Source organism: Homo sapiens, chromosome 12 (genome assembly GCF_000001405.40).
Source record: "Homo sapiens chromosome 12, GRCh38.p14 Primary Assembly".
Classification (NCBI taxonomy): Eukaryota; Metazoa; Chordata; class Mammalia; order Primates; family Hominidae; genus Homo; species Homo sapiens.
Window position 1 is genome coordinate 118620816 of NC_000012.12, and position 22989 is coordinate 118643804.

A 22989-nucleotide genomic window follows, 5' to 3' on the forward strand; every position below is an offset into this window, starting at 1 on the left:
ATCAGTTGATAACAAAGTTCAACTGTAGTGGGTTAAATAGTGTCCTCCCCAAATTTACATCCACCCGATCCTCAGAACGTGACGTTATTTGGAAATAGGGTCTTTGCAGATATAATTAGTTAAGATGAGTTCATACTGGATTAGGGTGGGCCGTAAATCCAACGAGTGGTGTCCTTATAAGATGAGTAGAGAACAGACAGAGACACACAGAGAAAAGGGTCATCTGAAGGTGGAGGCAGAGATTGGAGTGATGCTTCCACAAACCAAGGAACACTTAGGGACAGCAGAAGCTAGAAGAGTCATGGAAGTCTTCTTCTCTAAAATCTTCAGAGGGATCATGGCCCTGTGAACACCTTGATTTCAAAATTCTCCCCTCCAGAATGATGACAGAACAAATTTTGGTTGCTTTAAGCCATCGAGTTTGTGTTATTTGGTTATGGCAGTGCTAGGAAATTAATACACCAATAATATAAAAATATAAGAAAATGTTATTTACATATATAAGATTAGATATTTAAAAAGAGGGGCTGGGCCTGGTGGCTCATGTCTGTAATCCCAGCACTTTGGGAGGCCGAAGTGGGCAGATAACCTGAGGTCAGGAGTTTGAGACCAGCCTGACCAACATGGAGAAACCCCGTCTCTACTAAAAATACAAAACTAGCCAGGCGTGGTGGTGCATGCCTGTAATCCCAGCTACTCGGGAGACTGAGGAAGGAGAATCGCTTGAACCCGGGAGGTGAGGTTGCAGTGAGCTGAGATTGCGCCATTGCACTCCAGCCTGGGCAACAAGAGCGAAACTCTGTCTCGAAAAAAAAAGAGGTGGTTGAAGTTATGTTTCAACTCTTCGTGGAAGGGGTGAGATCTGAACAGAGTCTTCAAAAACCAGTAACAAGGAGAAAAAGAACGAATCAGCCCCCAAGACTACATTGCAGTCACGAGTATAAGTATTGGGGTCAGACGGGTCTGGACACCAATCCAGCTGTGTAATCTTAGGCAAGTCAGTGAATATCTTCAAGCCTTCCTTTCCTCATCTGTAAAATGGGAACAGTAATATCATGCCTGTTTGTAATGAGGATTAAATAAAGTATGTACAGCATTTAATACCGTGCTGGCAATTAATACATGCTCAATATATGGGATATTATTATTATTTTGAAAGGATGTACGGATGACAGGCCCCATTAGAAACAAATATATGATAAAGCATGCCACTTAATAATACTTCACATCTCCACAGCATTTATGCTGGAGTCTCCACTTGCCCCTCTAGATTCACTTTCTCTTTCTCCTTCCCACTCTGTTCCTTGGAAGGCTAAACTGTACAGACAGCATCAACCAAGGTCCCTTGCCCTCTGGCTTCTTGCTGAATTCAGCCAATAAGGAGGCGAGTGGCAGGGGATTCAAGGAAAGGAGGAGAGAAGGATCAGTCATTCTCTCTACCTGTTGCCAACTTCATTCTTGTGTATTAAGCATGTCTTTTTATTCTGATACATCAACATCTTGGGGCCTTGCTGACCCTAAACAGAATGCCCGTCCCAGGGTTGGGCAATTCCTATAGAGAGCAAACAGCTCACTCCAGGAGTGCAACTTCCATACGCAAATCAACTGATAGAAGCCCACCCCTACATCTTTCCATATGCAAATCAACTGATAGAAGCCCATCCCCTACACATTTGCATATGCAAATCAACTGATAGAAGCCCATCCCCTACATATTTCCATATGCAAATCAACTGATAGAAGCCCATTCCCTTACACATTTCCCATATCAGCCTCCCACACTCTGGGCCACTACCCACCTGCCCTAATCACCCCAGAGCCCGGTACCAGAGAACTAGAGACAGCCTATATGCCCCAGAGCCTACTGAAATTATTCAAATGAGCTAATATTACACCTGCTTACCCTGCCTCACCTATTTCTTCCCTCAGAAATCACAATAAAGGCTCTTACTTTTTCTTCCTGCTCCCTCTGCCTCTTGACCGACCATGTTGACCACGGTGCTGCCCCCATGTGGCCCTGCAAGGCTTGGGAAGCTCCCTCCACTTGGGATCTGTGGGTAACAAAGATCTTTTTTTTTTTTTTTGAGACAGAATCTCGCTCTGTCACCAAGGCTGGAGTGCAGTGGCGCATCTCGGCTCACTTCAACCTCCACCTCCTGGGTTCAAGCAATTCTCCTGCCTCAGCCTCCTGAGTAGCTGGGACTACAGGTGCGTGCCACCACGCCCAGCTAATTTTTGTATTTTTAGTACAGACAGGGTTTCACCATGTTGGGCAGAATGGTCTTGATCTCTTCACCTCGTGATCTGCCTGCCTTGGCTTCCCAAAGTGCTAGGATTACAGACGTGAGCCACTGCACCCGGCCAACAAACGATCTTTCTAATGGCAGTTGGTCTTCACCATCCCTGAATATAATAAAACCTACATTTTAAAACACCCTGCTGGGCTGGGGTTTGATAATGGCCATATTCTTCCACCTGTGGCCGCAGCTTCTGTTATACGCTCTTGTGAGGTTCTGGTCTCACACTCTTCCCCCTCAACCCTTAGTGCTTTCCTGGTGGTAACAGCTTTCTCTGCTACTGTTAGTCTCTGAGGGGCTCTCTATCAATCATTCCCCTACCTCTATAAATAGTCCTTTCATTAAATATTCTTCGTATAACTCTTTGAGTATGCCAACCAGGGCCATGAGTGATAAGCACTTTCCACAGCATTCTCACATCCTTCATATCTGAGATTTATAATCTTTGTGAATTGGGCAGGATCACTCTCATTTTGCCAGTGGGAAAACACATATTCTGAGGGGTTAAACCAACCTGCTCAAAGTCCATGTTTCACCCCCATATCCGGTACTCTTTCCAACTTGTCCCACTCACTGGGTCTGTCTTGTTCACTATTGTATATCCAACTGCAGTGCCTGGCATGGACTTGTTGCTCAATTAGCATTTCTTGGACAGAATAAAACAAACGACCAGAGAGCAAGATCTTGAAGGAATAGGATGGAAGATGAGGAAAGTCTTTCTTCACATAGGGAGTCTAGGATTACCTTCAGTACAACGCGTAGAATATAGTAGGTGCTCAGTAAATACTTGTTAAATATTGAATGAATCAATGGGACTTTGGAGGTGGCCTTTCTGGGGCACCACAGCAATGCTCTGTGAGCATTGGGTGCTTGATGTGGAGTGTCCAGAAGGAAACTGCCAGATATAAGCCCCATTTGCTTCCCAGTCTGACCAGACCTTATTCTACCTTTTCTATTCCACCACTGTCCAGAACAGGGAACTTGACCAAATTAAATCATGCTAGCTTTATCCCTACCTGGTGTTCTGCCCACTCCCTGCCACCTATGCCATGGGTATGATAGATATTGGTTTGCAGAGGTTAAAAAGCTGGATATGAGCAAGGCTGGCAGCTGAGGGCTAACAGGGCTGAGGTCTTCGGCATTTGAGCTTCTCCATGGGATCTGCATTCCTCTGGGGGCAACTCTGTGGGTCACACAGGACTCTATTAACAGAAATTTTCCAAAGAATGGGAAAGAGTGATGGAGGAATGGGTGTTAACCTCATCTCATTATTTACTTTGGTTATAAAATGGGTCTTTGTAAGGTAACATACATTGGGGGCCTTCTCGCAGTGCTGCTTGGTGACACTCCATATTTTGTTGAGCAGATACTCCCTTGGTACCTCTGCCTGATTAATGACACCTTCAACTTGGCTCTGTATGCCTTTCATGTCTCCCTGGGTCTCCTGCAGAGCTGCCTGGCTGGCTTCTCACCATGATGATAGCGGACAGAGTGACTTTATTGCAAATTTCAAGGTCACCTCCTCTTTGTTACCCTTCCCCCACATACACACATATACCACTGAGACTGGTTCACTTGAAGCAGTCTTGAGGTTCAGGCTGCTGGCTGAAAACTCCAAGACCCCTCAAGAAAAACCCTGCACACCAGCTTCTAAAGATACGCAAATCTTCTGAGAGAATTAGCATTGGCTCTAAGAACAAAGTCTAGGGATGGTGTGAGAGAAAGATGGGATTGGATTCCCAGGCAGCAGAATAGGATGATTAAGAGCATGGAATCAGATGTGTCTGGGTTTGCTCTTCCTAAGTACATCACCTGAGTCTCTAAGCCTTAAGGTTTTCACTTGGTGAATGGGGATAATAGTACCAAGTCATAAGTTTACATTGAAAGGTGACTGAGATGAAGCATGTGCAGTACTTTGCATGTAGTAGCTGCTCAATAAATATTAGCTCTATTACTGTTACTCATAAAATAATAATTAGGCCATTTCCCCAAACATCAGACCAGGTAAAGCAAGCTGTTACTACAATATGGGAGAAAGGGCTTGAAAACAGACACAGTACTGAGAATGCTATCCTTGGCCCACGGTCTTGGAAAAGTTATCCCTAGCAACAAGGCAGGAGGCTGTACAAGGAGTCAGAGACTTGAGATGTAGAATCAGGGCTGAAAACAGAAACCTCCTGAGGTTTTAATACAAAAGGAAGTTAATACAGGGGGTAGGTTACACAGATGCGCAAACAATGGAGAAGCCAAACTAATGTCATGAGGCAAAACTCAGAGATGGGTAACAGCAGGAAGCTGTTATCTCTTCTAGGCCAGAGGAACAGAGAGGGGATGGTGTGACCAGAGCCTAGGAGCTGAGGTCACTCTTTGGAAGCTGGAACAACAGAGAGCTTTCTGGCAGGAGCTAGAGTTATAGAGGAGACACAGCTGCTACTAGAGATAATGCCTGAGGCAAAGAAGAAGGGAGAAAATGACATTGACTTCTCTCTTACTGTTTCTCCCACCTGGGCTTTCCATTTGCAAAACCCAGCCAAAGCCAGTTAGCAAAGGCTTCTGGGAAACGCAGTTTGCCGAGTTCACCTAATCCTATTATACAGAGGTCATCTATATTCCATTATACAGAGTTGAAGAGAGGGCATGGAGCTGAGGGACAACACGGTCCAGGTTTGGTACAGGGGTTGAAGTAGAGTTGCCAGGTAAAATATAGGTTTCCATGTAAAATTAGAATTTCTGATAGCAAAACAAAATTTAGTGTTAAGTATGTAAAAATTTTATTTCATTCATTGTTTCATTCATTTCATTGTTTATCTGAAATTCTCACTTTGCTGGGTGTCCTGTGCTTTTATGTATTAAATTCGGCAACTTTAGGTTAAAGGCAATATTGGAACCATTGGAGGGTCCCAATTCTCAGGCCAAATTAGGTAGATGACAGGTTAGGAAGAGGAAGGAGAGAAGAATGAAGATACCATGCAGCTCTCATGAGGTCTGACAAATGGATTAATGCTGCCTCAGTTTGTCTTAAAGGGTTTCATTCATTTATTCAGTTGTTTACCTATCCATCCATCCTACATCCACCCATCTATTCATTCCTCCATCCTCCCTCCCTCTTTTCCTCCCTTCCTCTATGGGTTCATCCATTTATTCATTTATTTCCTACTTATTGAACATCTGCTGTGTGCTGGTAATATGCTGGATATTGGGAGTATCTTACTGAAGAGACAGTATCTTCCCTCAGGCAGCTTACATGCAAGACAAGAATGCAGATATTAAGCTACAAAGCACATGAGAAACTACCCATTACAACTGTAGCTGGGTTTATGAATGATTGCACAGAAACCTCAGACAATCAGGGAATGCTTTCTTGAGGAAGTGTCATTCGGACCGAGATGTGGGGGATTGGTAGGAGTTAATTAGGTGAAGGAGAGCTGAGGGTGAGTGCATCTAAAAAGACAGAATGGCATAGGCAAAATTGGGAGGGAGTTTGGTGTGTTTGGGGGCCTAGAAGAAGGTCCATGTAGGTCCAATGTGAGGAGCAAAGGCGGGAAGTGGTATAGATGAGGCTGGAGAGGTCAGCAGGGTGGGTTGGCTGTGTATGGTAGGCAGATTGTACAGGGCACAACTCCATGGCTTGATAGTCACATCATAATCTAGAGAATGGTGTGCCCTGGAGTTCTTCAAGATTCACCAGCATGGCCATGTGTAGCATTTCTCAACCAGAAAGTGCAGAAACTTATAAGTCATGGTAAGAAGTGTGTGATGTTGCTTGTTAGAGCCATGGAGGTGGCATGACTAGATTTACATTTTAGAGAGAACTTTTTTTTTTTTTTTTGCTAGGTAGAACATGGATGTAGTGGGCCTAGAAGAGAAGAGGGTAGACCCACAAAGATGCCTTTGTAGTCATCAAAGTGAGCAATGATGGTGGATTGAACTAGGGCGTTTGTGATGAAGAGAAAGAGGTGTGGGCAGAGAGGGGTGAGATCTTTAGGTGGGAGGAGATACCTTGTTTAGACATGGATTAGATATGGTGGTCAAGTTTCTGGTGTGGCCAGGTGGGTGGATGGGTGGTGGCAGTGTTCCCTGTGATGGTGAGCATAGATACTGTAAAATCATTAGAGAAATAAAACAAAGCATCAAAGAATTTTTAAGGCTAAAATGCAAATATAGTCAGCCAAATCCATCTCATATGTCATTTTATAATCAAACTTAAATAAACTTCTTGATTTCTTTGGCGCAATATGTTCTAGATATATTGAATTGTTCCCCTCTGGTGGTTTATTTTCTCACTTCCTTTCTTAGGGAAGTAAAGTCCTACCTCACGACCATTTCTCCATTTCTTATTATATACTAAAGCAAAAATAAGTACATTAAATTATACTGGATTGAGGACCATGCACAGTGGCTTGTGCCTGTAATCCCAGCACTTTGGGAGGCTGAGGCAGGAGCATCCTTTGAGGCCAGGAGTTCCATATAAGACTGGGCAACATAGCAAGACCCCAGTCTCTGCAAACAATAAAAAATTTAGCCAGAGGAACAGGGGTGGGGCAGGGGGTGGTGGTGGTGCGTGCCTGAAGTCCCAGCTACTTGAGAGGCTGAAAAAGGAGGTTCAATTCAACCCAGGAGTTTGAGGTTATGGTAAGCTAGGATCATACCACTGCACTCCAGTCTGGGTGACAAAGTGAGACTCTCTCTCTAAATAAATAAATAAAAAAGTTTACTGTATTTATTCTAAAATACATATTTAAAACATTGCATCATCTAATAGTTGTGATGTTATTGATGGCCTCTTATAATCACTACCAGCTACACAGCCATTTTTATGTGGTTGTCATTGTCTGACCAGTTGCAAATTTTGTTCTTATTCTAGGTGGTCTGACCAGACAACTCAGCTCCATAATGTGTCAGTCAACAAACTGTTAAGGACCATTTGAGGAAGAAATATGAATTCCAGTTGTTGTCTGAAAAACTCTCATTGACACTTCTGGTAAGTTTAAGAAAGTGCCAGCATTAAAACTTGCAGACTGGGGCGAACAGCATGGAGGAAAACTCTGCTGACGATAGTGGGACCCTCTATAAAGAAAAAGCTGTATCACCAATTCCATGGTACAATGGATGACATGGTGTGAAAAAACCAGGCCTGGCGCCGTGGCTCACGCCTGTAATCCCAGCACTTTGGGAGGCCGAGGTGGGCGGATCACGAGGTCAGGAGATCGAGACCATTCTGGCTAACACGATGAAACACCGTCTCTACTAAAAATACAAAAAATTAGCCAGGCGTGGTGGCGGGCACCTGTAGTCCCAGCTACTCGGGAGGCTGAGACAGGAGAATGGCGTGAACCCGGGAGGTGGAGCTTGCAGTGAACCGAGATCGCCCCACTGCACTCTGGCCTGGGCAACAGAGCAAGACTCCATCTCAAAAAAAAAAAAAAGAAAAAAAAACAAAGCAAACATGGATCTCCTTGACTGTGAGTCAAAAGTGATTTAGAATTAGATTCTGAACACAAAGTGGTTTTAGGAACATAATACCAATTTGTTTTGTTTCTATTTCCCCTTTTTTTGTGAGTGTGTAAGAACAATGTTATAAAAATGTGAACAAATAAGTCTAAAAGAGCTCTTTAGGTATAAAAGAAAAAATATAAGTGACAAGAAAGCCTTGTGCCATAGTTTAATTGGTAGTGATTTTTTCTTTCTTAGGGCTACATAAAATAGGAAGGAATTGACGATGAATCTCACAAACATAATGTTGACTGATAGAAGTCATAAACAAAAGATTATAGGATGTATGATGCTGCTTTCATAAAGTTCAAAAAAGCAAGTAAAACTAAGATGGATTGTTTTAACCGTCAAGGCAGATGCTATCTTTTGAGGGGATGGAGGGAACATGGCGGGGCTTTGGAGAGACTGGCACCGTTCTATTTCTTGACCTGGGGGATGATCATACAGGTGTTTGCTTTGTTTTGCTTTTCACTAAGGTGTTGCTTTTCATTGAGTTGTGCACTTATGTTTTATACATTTGTCTATACATGTGTTATGCCTCAATAAAATTTTTTAAATGGTGTGTCTTGCCATTGCTATCATCTTAGATTTGATGAAATGCAGAGATGTTTACGTGTGTGTATGTGGGTGTGGGTGTGCTGAAGGGGAGCTTTGCTTTTCTCTATTTCCTTGTATGTATGTTCCCCTAGTTGGTCATTTTGCTTTGAGAATTAGGACTATGTAGCAGGAATATAATTATAAATATGTGTACAGTTATAACAAATATATGCACATATATTATAACAGCTGCATATACAGATGCTCCTCAACTTACTGTGGAGTTACCTCCGGATAAACTCATCGTAAGTTGAAAATATTGTAAATAAAAAATGGATTTAATATACCTAACCTACAGAACATCATAGCTTCGCCTCACTCACCTTAAATGTGTTCAGAACACCTACCTTAGGCTACCATTAAGCATAATCATCTGGCAACACAGTACACTGTAGAGTATTCGTTGTTTACCCTCGTGATCATGTGGCTGACTGGGGGCTGTGGTCTGCTGCGGCTGCCCAGTGGCGCAAGGGTATGGTACCTACATGTTACTAGTCCAGGAAGGAAGAGATCGAAATTCAATTTTTTTTTTCCCATGCCCAGCCTATGTTTAACATTTTGAAGAACACCCAAACTGTTTTCCACAGTGGCTGTGGAAAAACATTTCCACATTCCCATCATCAGTGTATGAGGGTTCCAGTGTCTCCACATCCTCACCTCAAAAGCTTTATCTAATTTAAAAATGGGCTGGGATTAGGTTGTTTATGGCGCTAGTGCCTAGTGGTCCCTATGGATGCTCTTACAGTCCAGATAACATATTTATATCATCTTAACTTTTCTACTCTGAATGTAGAAAATGTCTACTTTCTGCTTTGTTGAAATTTCTAAATTTTACTCTGTTCCCCAGGCTGGAGTGCAGTGGCATGATCATGGATCACTGCAGCCGCGACCTCCCAGGCACAGGTGATCCTCCCATCTCAGCCTCCCAAGTAGCTGGAACTACAGGTGCATGCCACACCTGGCTAATATTTTGTATTTTTTTTTTGTAGAGATAGGGTTTCACCATATTGCCTAGGCTGATATCGAACTCTTGAGCTCAAGTGATCTGCCCACCTCAGCCTCCCAAATTGCTGGGATTACAGACGTGAGCCACTGCGCCCAGCCAAAACTCAAAATTTTAAGTAGGTTTCTACTGAATGTGTGTCACTTTCACACCATCATAAAATTGAAAATTTAAGTCAATCCGTTGTAAGCAAGGACTGTCAGTATAACAGATACATTTATAATAACTATATATATTATAAATCTATAATAAAATATATAACATATATATATAACAGATATAGCTATTAATACACCCCCACACACTATAATTTTTGGCTTATAAAATAGGCTCTTGCCGATTCCAAAGGAAGGGCCTGAGAGGAACAGGACACAGAGTTTATGCCATAACTGCAAATATAAGAGAACAGAGAGGGAGCAGCAGACAATGCTTATTGTCTACTTAAAGTAAGAGTCACTAGGGCTGGAGGGACTGGAGACAGTTGCGGGTATAAAGAGGCACTGAGAAGAAGACCATGCATGGCAGAAACCAGGCAGAGCACAGTGGAATTAACATGAAGATACAGTCAAGCACTCTCTGAGGCCAGTGCTAGGACTGGTATATAAGAGTCTAGAAGGAGCCAGGAGCAGTGGCTCATGCCTGTAATCCAGGAGTTTGAGACCAGCCTGACCAACATGGTGAAACCCCGTCTCTACCAAAAATACAAAAATTAGCCAGGCATGGCATGCACCTGTGATCCTAGCTGCTTGGGAGACTGAGGCAGGAGAATTGCCTGAACCTGGGAGGCAGAGGTTGCAGTGAACCAAGATCGAGCCACTGCATTCCAGCCTGGGCAACAAAGCAAGACTCTGTCTCACAAAAAAAAAAAAAAAAAAAAAAAAAAGAGCCTAGAAGGAGTTATGGTGTTTATTTCTAGGTACTAGTATCATATGTGTTTTTTAAAAATCATTTTTGCTTCCTTGTATTTTCTAAATCTTCTACAATTAGCATGTATTATGTTTGCATTAATTAAAAAAAGCTTTTTTTTTCTGTTTCAGTGACTTTATTCTGGACATTTCACATAAATAGAATCACATAGTATGCTACTTTTTGTGTCTGGCCTCTTTCACTTAGCACAATGTGTTCCAGGCTCATCCACTTTGAAGCATGTAGCAGTACTTCATTCTTTTCTTTGGTGGAATACTATTCTATTGTATGGATATAGCACAATTTGTTTATCCATTCTTCTGTTGATAGGCATTTGGATTGCTTCCACCTTTTGGCAATTGTAAATAGTGCTTCTACGAGCATTTGTAACTTGTTGAGTCTCAAGAATTTGAGTACCTATTTTCAATCCTGCTGGATATATACTTAGGAGTAGAATTGCTGGGTCATATGGTAACTCTACATTTAACTTTTCTTCTTTTTTGAGACAAGGTCTCACGATCTTGCCCAGGCTGGAGTGCAGTAGCATGATCATAGCTCACTGCGAGTTTAAACTGAGCTCAAGCGATCTTCCCTCCTCAAAGGCCTTCTGAATAGCTGGGACTAAAGGCAAACACCACCATGGCTGGCTAATATTTTAAAATTTTTTTAAATAGAGCCTGGGTATTGTTATGTTGTCCAGCCTGATTTCGAGCTCTTGAGCTCAAGCAATCCTCCTGCCTTGGCCTCTCAAAGTGCTAGCATTACAGGCATGAGCCACTGCGTGGAAAAACATTTTCACATTCTCACCATCAGTGTATGAGGGTTCCAATTTCTCCACATCCTCACCTCAAAAAGTATTAATATATCTAATTTTAAAATATAGGCTGGAATTAGGTTGTTTACAGTGCTGGTGCCTAGTGGTCCCTGTGGATGTTCTTACAGTCCAGAGGATGTATTTATATTATCTTAAATTCTCTACTCTGAATGTAGTATTCCTAACACCAAAGGAAGGGCAGGCACCTAGAGTTTCCAGTTGAGAGAACTATATGCAAACTCATCATTCGGAATGGTGCAAGCTTTCAGTTGTCTTAACTCTTTTTTGGTGTCTTTTGTCTTGTGTAGCATAAGTATTGACTGTACAGAAGTTTGTACAGATGTGATCTGTTGGAGGCAAACATGAATTTGATTTAAAGTGCTCCCTTTTTTTGCCAGTGGCAGCAGCTTTTCTTTCAACTACTACCTAGAAGAGCACTTCAACATATGGTACCCACCTCCATCCCTCTGTGAGTGCCTTGAGGACAGTTAGATATATAGAAAAATAAAACATAGTTTATGCCCTCAGGGAGCTCACAGTCTCCTAGGAGAAGCAGATTGTGTAAAGCTAATCAAAGTACAGTGTGATGATAATTGTGATAGGGGAATGGAGGGACATATTTTTCCTCTTCCACTCCTTCTTGTGGCACATATTAAGGCTTATATAGCAGTAGGAGATAGATATTCTTTTAGTATAATCATGTGTAATGTATGAGCTAGCTGGAGGTTAATCTTGGGAGTGTGATTTTGCTGATTGCTTTTTTGATAATCCACTGTAAGGGAGCCAGTGTGAGTATCTCTTCTTCTCCCCTCAAGGGATCTGGGTTCCCTTCCACTCTCCAATCTCTCACCCAACAGTAGAATACAAGGAGGATCCAAACGGCTGAAAAACCATCCTGGAAACTGAACACATGAGGAATGAACAATGACTGGAATAAGTAGAGGATCTGGAGGGGAGGTAAAGTTAAGAATGAGGGTCCATGTGGAAGAGGCTTCCAAGTTGGATAGTGTGTCACGGATATCATTTCCGAGAATCAAGAAGAAAATCTTGTATCCGCTGGAGTGGCTTGTAGGCATTGGCATAGAGTTATAATAGAACAAAAAACAATTCCAAGACCTGTATCCTCTTTGCAGTCTGTAAAGATTAGACTATACCACCCAAATCTCAAGTACAGATCTGTCTGTATAGTCTTCCGGGTTCAGTATGGGGGACTGATTGTCCATGCATATTCGTTTATGGGCTTTATAACCACACCCTTCTGGATAAAGGGCATAGTTCTGGGGTCATAGAGCTATAGTTAATATTTTTCAACACATACATCAAGCATCCATTATGCGCAAAGAGCTGTCCCTGGTGCTGAAGAATCAGCCAATTAAAACCCCGGAAATTTCTGTCCTCTTGGAGCTTATACTTTGTGGGGGAGATAGTCTTATAGGATCTGAATCTGAATTTAAATGTTTTTAGAGGGCCTGTCTTCTCAGTTCACCATGACCCCTACCACTTTTTTTTTTCTTACACCTGGCACAGTGTCCCATTTATCTCACATACATCAAGTAGATGTAGTGGCCTCTGAAGGCATTGGGTTTACAGCTCATTGCCCAGAATAATTTTTAAATTCTGAAACATTTAAAATAAAGTATAACCAAGGTATAGCAAAAATCACAGATCATAAGTGCATGTGGTGCAGCGGATATTTGAAATCTGAACAACATATCCATGTAACCAACACTCAGATCCAGAAGTGGAGTATTGCTAGAACATCTCCACATCCTCCATATCGCCTTTTGGTCACTACCATTGCCAAGGGCATCCACTCCCTATCTTCTAACAGAATATTTTGCCTGGTTTTGAGGTTTATATAAATTGAATAACACACGAGTACTCTTGTGTCTGGCTTCTTTCACCCAACATTATATTTGTTGTATTCATCCATTTGATTGCCTGTAGTTGTTTGTTCATTTTCATTACCATATTCCATTATAAGACAATACCACAATATATTTATCTATGTTATCCATTCTACTATAGGCATCTTGGTCATTTTCAATTTGGGGCCATCGTAAATAGTGACGCTATGAACATTCTTACACGTGTCTTATAGTGAACATAAATGAATATTAGGTATTTGCATATTAGACATACATTAGGTATTTCTGTTAAGGAAATACCTAGGAATGAGTCATCAGGTATGCTTATGTTCAACTTTATTTATTTTTTTGAGACAGGGTCTTGCTCTGTCACCAAGGCTGGAGTGCAGTGGTGCAATTATGGCTCACTGCAGAGTTGACTCCCTGGCTCATGTGATCCTTACACCTTAACCTACTGAGTAGCTGGGACTACAGGTGCACACCACCACACCTGGTTAATATTTTAATTTTTTGTAGATACGGGGTTTTGCCATGTTGCTTAGGCTGGTCTCAAACTCCTGGGCTCAAACAATCGTCCCACCTAGGCCTCCAAAATGCTGGGATGACAGGCATACACCAGACCTATGTTCAACTTCAGTTATAAAGTTTAGCAAGCTGCCAGATAGTTTTTCAAAGTACTTGTACAAATTTACATTTCCACCATCAACGTATGAAAGCTCCAGTTCCTCTATATCTTCACCTCACCTACAGGCTCAACAGCATGGTGGAGAAAAGGGAGAGACAAAACTGGAGAAATTGACAGCAACAAGATATTGCAAGATTTTAAGAAAGAGTACTATAACATTTAGTGATTCATTTTTTAATTCTTGACCAATACTTAATGAAGATTTGTCACATATTTGGGACTGTGATAGGCCCTGAGGATACATCTGTAAAAGGATAGACAGAATTCCTGTCCTCATGTAGTTTATACTTTATGGAAAAAGAAGCATTAATTGAAAGAAGAATTGTTGTACCAGTGTCAACCCTTGCTTTCTGATTTCCATTCCAATTCTGGCCTGTGGATTGATTTCCTTTAGGCCCTGTCCAATTTCTTCCATGCCACAGTCTGCTGGGCCCTAGCTAATTTGACTGGCTTCCTTGGGGATTATTGATTGCTTGGACATCTGGATGCATTTGGTTTCCAAAATTCCACTGTCATTCCTGGAGGTCAATTAGTATGTGGACTGAATCTTTGCAGATTGATAATGATTCCAGATTTCTGATTTATCATATCCATTTCTCTAGGGATGGCAGCTGTAAAAGATGAGTTCTGCACCTCAGCCACCACAGAGACCTCATTAAATTCACATTCTTCCTTCTTGATTAATCACACCTTCTCTTTTTTTGGAACATCTATCCCTCCATACACTTCACTTCCATGATTTTGTTTTAGAAGCCTTTTCTTCCTTGAATCATTGTGTCTTTCCTCTTGAGATCCCAAATATCAGATTTTTCTTGATACGCAGGTATGAAAAGTATGATCCCATCGCTACACCACACAGCAAAGACTTCCTCCATGGTCCATGGTGAAATTGTCTATATTACATCAAAGTGATTGCCAGAACTGGAACTGGATCAAATTGGGAGGGGTTTAGGGCATCACGTAATGTGGGTATGGGGCAAAGTTCACTAACCTTTACCCCACATTTATGCAACCACAATTTATTAACTACCATGTGCCAGGTGTTTGTGCTGGGTACTAACAACATATTGGTGAGCAAGTCATGGTCTCTGCCCTTGCAAAGCTCAGAGTCTACTGGGGGAGACAGATGTGTCAGCAACAAGAAAATACAATGCCATATATGAATACTACCAGTGGGAAAATCCATGGTGCTATGGGATTGTAAAGAAGGGGTATCCACCCAACCTATGGGACAAAGAAGGCTTCCTGGAAGAAGAGCCACTAAGCTGAGACCTGAGAGAGCTATAGGAGTATGGGAGAGTGGGGAAAAAGTATTACAAGCAAGGGGAACAGCCTATGCAAAGGCCAGGAAGAAAGAGAACATGGTGACTCTGAAAGACATAAATGAATTGAGTATAACTGGGTGGGTCAGACAGAGTAAGGTGAGAAGAGATCATGGTTTAGAGGCAGAAAGGGACCAGGTGGGCCTTTTCAGCCAGGGTAAGAAATTTGCACTTCTTCTTGTATTACAGTTGGAGGTAGGATGGGGTTTTAAGTAGCAGGAGTGACATGTTCTGTTTTGTACTTTAGGTAGATCATTCCTAATTGCGGTTTGACCAAAGAATGGTTCCCTGAGTGCTGTAATAAATTTGGCAGTGCAGAGAGTAGTCAGAGCTGCTTTGTGTGGTAGAAAAACAATTCTCTTAGGGTTGTTCTTGGTTAGCAGTCTTGTGCTTTAGTTGATATTCCTGATGGCCCAACCATATGCCCTTGGCTTTCACCATTCTGTGCACTCTTGGCCTAAGGCTTCCAAGAGCCAGTGCCTGTGTTTCTGCCTGATGGCTTTTGCCAGTGACTGGAGGAACCTAATGGCCCTGTGCTCAGGAAATGCCAGAGAGTTAATGCTCCTCCGAATTAGTTCTCAACCAATACCTGATGAGAGTTGGTGGATAAATACACAAGCTCCCTTGCTAGCACAGATGGGATAACTCTGATTGCCCACAGCGGTAATCTGCTCAATAGTACACGGTTTATTGGCTTATTTCATATCATTGTTTTATCCCAATCCCTAATGTGCTGGGTACTGTGATGCACCATCCAGATGCCCCATCACTGATGAACTTGCTGCCCAGCTGCTGGGAGTGTTGCTGGTGGATTAACTTCAGCTGTTTGTCCCTTTTGGCATTGCCTCATCTACAGAGAGCTGCTTTGTCCAAGGACACATTGTGTTCTGGGGAAGCCCACATCCACTGACTAGTCGAGGTGGGGCTATAAAGCCCTAACCATCCCAGTCAAATTTGGGACAACTCTGAAGGTCTGTTCTAGCTCCAGAGCTCCCTGTAGGGTTGCACAGCCTGCACTGTGGCTCACCTTCTCTCTCTGCCCATCCCTACTACCTTCTGCTCTTTTCCACGAGTGTTGATTCCAAGTACATTCTTTAAGAAACATCCCATATGCTAACTTTTTTAGCCTGCTTCCCAGAAAGCCCAACCAATGACATCCACTTTCCTGGGATCACCTATCACATAAACTATTTGAATCCTCCCTCTCTGGCTTTTTCTGGGAAAACCAAATCCAAGCTAATACTAGAGCTTGTGAATAAGGTAGGAAAACAAAGTGGGCTCAGCTCAAGTTCTAGGGTAGGAGGGAAAAGACAGAGCCCAGTGGCTATAATTAGGACAGGGGATATTTCTTTGGATATGGTCACATATTAGGTACCAACTGCCCCCATGCTCCAGACTTCATTGTTGGAATCTCTAATCATTACTCCATAAATAAATCCCATCTGTGTCCTCTTTAAAGCACACTGCACAGAGTTGCTCATAGGAATCAGCTTAATTTCAAGTTAGTGATGTATTTTGAAGGGTCTATCCTTCTCACTTCAATTTAGGGGCTAACTGTGGAAACTGCTATGTGTTTCCTGTGTCCACAACTTAATAATATATCATGGTCTGTCTGGACAGTCATACCAGACTTCTCATATACCCATTTCACCTGCTCTGGGGGATGGCTGCTGTAGCAGATGTTGTTGGTGTGCCATCCTGTATCCTCCTCAGCCTGTCTGAAACTACCTGCAGCTATGGACAGTTTCCACCTGCATTTGTCTTCTCTGCCCAAGAGCTTCCTCTGGCAGCAGGGAGAAGGGTTCTCAGAGTTAATGCCCAGGTGGGCAACACTCGGCCACTCGGGGAAGGGAAATTATTGGGTAAATGATTGTTTTATCCCAATCCCTAATGGGGATTTATCCCAAATGCCCCAGTCTCTGGTGGGACCATTTTGAGGTGTGTTTCCCATGATCTCAGAGGACTCTACCTACAAAACTAGTATAAATTCTCTGAGTCAAAAATCCAGTCTTTGGGCTGAATTGTGGATTCATAAGAATCTCTTTCCATCCACAGGCCCATTTTCCAGTCCAGGAGAAAAGAATAGAGTTTCGAGGTTTGTGCCTTGCCATGCATGTGTTGGGAAGAAAGCGTCTGGCTGTAACTGAGTTTGGAAGAAAGTCTGTGCAGCAAGTCACCAGCGTTTTTTTCCCCTGTGTGCTTTTCAGGGCCACTTTTTCATTCCATGTCACAAATTTAGGAAGGGCCATCTGCCTGTGTGACTAATGAGCCTTTTCTGCAAAAGCAACGGAGATAAATGTCCTCTAGGAGCCCAGCACAGAAAAATGAAGAAATAGGATGGCAAATTTTCAGCCATTATTTTGGAGTCTGAACTCCCTCCCTGCATCAATTTAGCTATTATTTCAAAAACTAATTAATCTTCACTCAGGCAGCTCTGAGGGACCCGTGCTTAGATAATTAACAACCCGTGGATTATGAAAAGTCTCACTTGCAAATTTGGCTACAGCATTTGGGTAGAACACTTTCAGTATTATTCCGTTTAAACCCTCTTCCATCTATCCTTCATTTCCTGACAATTAAGAGCAAATAATTAACCATGATGGATTTTGCTTGGCTACTTGCTGCTCAAATAATGTTCTCTCTTCCTCTTTGTTCTTAAACCACCACCATCTGAACGTTTTTGACCAGCTTTGTAGGTAATTGGTTTGAACCAGGTAACAGTAGGCTTCATTTGCAATTAACAGGCATCAAGAACATTTGGGTTTGCCTTGTGTAAGGAGTGGGAGGAAATTCCAGAGCTCCATCAGAGAAGCAGCTTGTAACTTCTCCTTGGCTCTCAAAGACTACAGAATTCAGGTATAACTCTATTTGTGAAGTGTTTTCTTTGCCAAGAGTAAGAAAGAATTTAGACAAAACATTAAAATCAATCTTGTGACTGAAAGGTTGAAACACTCTAGAACAGGTTACTGCCCTCCACCCCCGATAAAAAAGTATTTATATTAAATTTTACAATTACTCTCTCCTGGAAATTTCATTTATTCAATAAACTGGGTGCCTACTGTGTTCCAGACACTATAGAAATTCGTGGTAACACAATGGCAAGGAAAGCATATGATATTCCTGCCCTTAAAAAACTTATAGTCTGTTGAGGAGGCCAGGCATTCATGAAGTGATAACCTGAAATTTACAAAAAAAATTTACCTGCTGGAGTACAGAATGATGTGGAAGCATTTAATAGGAAGACCTGGCCTATGTAGAAGTAGCGGTAAGAGGTTGGAAAGACTTCCCTGAGCAAGGAACATTTGAGCTGAGATGTGGAGAATGAGTAAGTGTTAAGTATCGCAGGAAGAGTGTTGCATCCAGAAAGCATAGCATGTGCAAAGCCTCTGAGCTTTTCAAGGAGCTTGGGTAGACAGGAATCTTGGGGTAAATCAGTAGATTTGGAGTACAGAGAATACAGGTAAAAAGAGTGGTTCAAGATACATCTATTTTCAAAGCTTATATAGGCTTCCCCTTATTTATTTTATTTTATTTTATTTTTGAGATACAGTCTTGCTGTATCGCCCAGGCTAGAGTGCAGTGGCATGATCTCAGCTCACTGCAACCTCTGCCTCCTGGGTTCAAGTGGTTCTCCTGCCTCAGCCTCCCAAGTAGCTGGGATTACAGGTGCCCGCCACCACGGCCGGCTAATTTTTTCTATTTTTACTAGAGATGGGTTTTCGCCATGTTAGCCAGGCTGGTCTTGAATTCCTGACTTCAAGTGATGCGCCTATCTTGGCCTCCCGAAGTGCTAAGATTACAGGCGTGAGCCACCATGCCCATTACCCCCTCATTTTAAAATTAATGCTCAGTTAAAAAGTAGAAAAGTGGGGAAAAATGGAACACAGTCATGCCAAGTTCAACTACCTAAACATATCTCTGGAATTTCAGAATCATAGCCTATTAACCATGAAGTGGACCAGGAAACTGAAACTCAGAAAGGTTAAGTGACTTGGCTAAGATCATGCAGCTAATTAGTGGCAGATATCCTACCAGGAATGTGCATATGATTGGGGGTTCTTATGAAGGCTTTAAGCTGTGCACCTACAAATGTTTTCTATATGACTAGTTAATTTTTAATTAAATGTGTCAGAAAAAATGCAACTGGTTCATTAAGCTTTTGATCTCATAAATCATATTGCTCAGAATGAGGCTATGTGGATAAACGTGAGTTGGTTTAAATTAAACAAAAGCTTAGTAAATAATGGTTCAGTTGATTACATACATATGGCAAAAATAATCAACATGTTAAGCAAATGGGAAATGTGTGCACAACACCATACTGAATGGTGACCCTGTGCCCAGAGCAGTTTGGGGCAAATTGCTAGGGGCAATAGATTTCCCAGCTAACTTTGGAAAGTCCCTTTAAGGCTTCTGGCTCCAAAGCAGTCAGAATCCTTTTCAGCTTGTCTCTCTCTCTGGTTTTCCTCTCCATAAAAACATTCACCTTTGTTCATTGCTCTTTAAACTCTCAAAAAAGAAAGTAAAAGGTGGCTGGGCATGGTGGCTTACACTTGTAATCCCAGCACCTTGGGAGGCCAAGGCGGGTGGATCACTGAGGTCAGGAGTTTGAGACCAGCCTGGCCAACATGGTGAATGAAACTCCATCTCTACTAAAAATACAACATTAGCCGGATGTGGTGGTGCATGCCTGGAATCCCAGCTACTCGGGGGGCTGAGGCAGGAGAATCGCTTGAATGCGGGAGGTGGAGGTTGCAGTGAGCTGAGATCGCGTCATTTGCACTCCAGCCTGGGTAACAAGAGCAAAACTCCGTCTCAAAAAAAAAAAAAAAAAAAGTAAAAGCTTACTGACTTCTTGTAATCCTAAAAGTAACAACCACGAATATAAGTTGGTTTACAGCATGTGAGAGATCTGTGAAAGGGGCTGTCTGTACCCTTAAGAGACTGGGCAGTTAATACATATGAACTTTGGAAGCAGATGGCAGATAAACCCCTTAGCAGGAAGATTATGCTTATTAAGGAGCCCATAATTTACTTGGTTTCTCTCATAAATTACTTGCTCTCTCTCTCCCTTTTCTCTAAGTCAATTCTGCAGGAGAATTGGCTGTCCCTCCTCATGAGCTCTCAGGACAGGCTGGACGATGACGCACAAGGCAGGTACAGGAAGAATACTTGCTGACCACTTAACACAGGTAGCTGCTTCAATTGTTTCCTTCAGAGAGCAGGTTTGGTCAGGGCTGATTTATCCATTGGGATAGTAAGTGCATTGCCTAGAGCCCATGACACTTTTAGGGGCCCTTAAAAACGTTTTAATTTCTTTTAAAATCAGAAGTAAAATATGAATATAATCCAGCCGGATTATATTTGTCTTCATACCAACACAGTTATATGCCAGACTTTTCTTAATGGAGGAAGGGACTCAGGGAGGCAAAAGTGCCCAAGACCCAAAACAATCATAATATGGACTTGGGAGTGGTAGATATTTGTATTTTTTCTGCCTACAATATATTCCACCTTCTTGTGGTCACAGGACCTCAATCGTCCTTTGGAGGAACAACTCTTCCCATACTTACAATCCTGTGAGATTCAGATGTGTTTTTGGTCAATCCTGGCTCCAGGAAGGGTCATGTGACTCACGCCCAGCCAATCAGAGCCACATATTTATTGTCCTATGTGATTGGTTCAGGATGAGTAAGTCACCCAGGTGGGGCCAATCAGGGCCAAAACTCAATTCTCAGACTTTTCTTGGAATCGTGGCAAGTGAGGAATCAAAGGTAGGCCTGGAGTTGTTGTTCATTATCTTTGCCAACACATGGGGAGAGTTTGAGAAGTTAGAAGCAGAATAGTTTCTGGGTCTCCAGCAGCAAGAACTTTAACTTTAGAGGAGGGATACCTACCTAAGCTAGACTTTCTTGGGGTAGAAACTGATTGGTTCATCCTCAGTTAGTTGTACACCTCTGGTCTAATAAGCCGTGGCTACATGGTTGAGGGGCCGGGACAGAATAAAGTTGGACAAATGTGGTTAAGACTCAGTGCTGCCTGGGGGGTTGAAGTTGGGCAGAAGATGTCAGATATGGGTTATTGGCTGGAACGAATTTTTGTCAAGTTGAGAAGCTGTGGAATGTCAGATGACATGACTTGGCTTCTGATTTTGAGGGGAAGACTTCAAAAAACTTTAATTCAGAGCTTCTCAAACCATGTTCCTGGGATACCAGTGTCAGTAGGAGTATTCAAAATAATTTTAAGGTCAAATATATTTGGGAAATGCTAGTTTAAATAACATCATGCAACTTCTTTCTTAGAGGACTTCTCAGACCTTTAATATGTTTATGTGCATTATGGATCACCAAAGGAAAGGGAGATAGAAGGTCCAGTATTTCTCAAACTTGTATGACCACCAAACTAGGAATTTCAAGGAATTTTTAGCTTTGAAGGACACCACTATTTTGAGAAATACAGTTTAAGAAATCCTGGTCAAGTTCATTACATTGAGAGCATTAAACGCTGTAAAGGAAAAACATTTTAAAATCTAAAGCCCTAAAAAAATTCCCTCTGTTTTTTTTTTTTTTTTTTTTTTTTTTTTAAATGCCCTTTTTCTTAAGAATGCATGAGGAAATGAGACCTGGAAAAGTTCACATTTTTTTTCTTACTAAGAGACCTGAAATCTTGTATCAGCTCCATTAATATTAAAAATAATTTAAAGCAAGCCAGGCATGGTAGCATACACCTATTATTCCAGCTACTCAGGAGGCTGAGGGAGGAGGATTGCTTGATCCCCAGAGTTAGAGGCCACAGTGAGCGATAATCACACCAGCGCATTCCAGCTTGGGCAATAGAGTGAGATCCTGTCACTATAGTTTAAGAAATAATAATAAAAAGCAACTGTTATACGATGCTTATTCTAAACCCCAGGAACTGTGCTAAGGAGTTTATGTTCACTCTCTCATTTAATCCTCATCATAATATAAGGAGGTAGGTGCTGCTATTAGTATCATTTTTTAGCTAAGAAAATTGAGGCATAGAAAGATAAAGTCACTTGAATGTAATGGAGATAGAATTTGAATCCAAACAGCCTAACTCCAGAGTCCTACTGTCAACCCCTATTCTAATACAAAAATAATTTGCACATGACATTAGGCAAGTTTCTTCTCTTTCTGAGTCTTGGTTTCTTAATCTGTAAATTCAGGGTGTCAGATTGGAGACTTTTGGAGCCATCGTGCTCTGTCTAGATTTCCCACAATTTCGCAAGTTCACATCTGTTAGTTCCACCTTGAGAAAAGTGGCCATTGATAACATGTTTACCTTGTCTATAAGATGAAGTGATTTAAAACATGACGGAGAGTGGAAGTAGAACTGGGGAAACTTCAGACAGTTGCTTATAAACGGGAGCCAAAGCTCTGAATGAAGGTCTCACCACTGCAAAATGACATGCTGGTGAGCTAAGAGAACCTGTAAAAATGAGGTCTCTGGAGGAGTCTTCATTGATTGCCAGTCTGAATTTAGCTTACATCAGACAGTCAGACAGACATCAATGGCTGCTCCAGAAACCCACGCTTCTTTCCTAGCATGTGGCAGACGGGCATTTGAGCCAAATTCAGCACTTCACTAGTTTGCCATCAGTCAACCTGAGGCAGGCAGACGTTGAGTCATCTTATGGTCTTCTGGCTCTGCATAGTTCAGATGGGGCAGGTGTCATGTGCCAGAACTGATGCTTCCTTTGAAAACAAGAGGACAGAATGGAGGAAGCAATGTTAAGAAAACATTGGTGATGCTATGTATCCCTTGATCACTTTGTACCTTTAATCTCATGAGGGCCTCACACTGCCTCTGAGAGGTGGGTAATAAAAACAGCAAAAACATGTTGAGCACATACTGTTTCAAGGTTGAGGGTAAATGCCTTAAATACATTATTTCATGTCATTTTATACAACTGGAGTGACCTATATATTTCTGGTTTACCTGGGAAAGTCCTAATTCACATCTGCTGTTTTGGCCTTATCATTA

At 42.0% G+C, this 22989-nt stretch overlaps 1 annotated feature.

Moving 5' to 3' along the window:
• Positions 12356-12556: a silencer, noted in NCBI's record as "peak1995 fragment used in MPRA reporter construct". NCBI's record gives its function as "represses an SCP1 promoter by STARR-seq MPRAs in K562 erythroleukemia cells {active_cell/tissue: K562}" and the evidence as "EXISTENCE:reporter gene assay evidence [ECO:0000049][PMID:32103011]".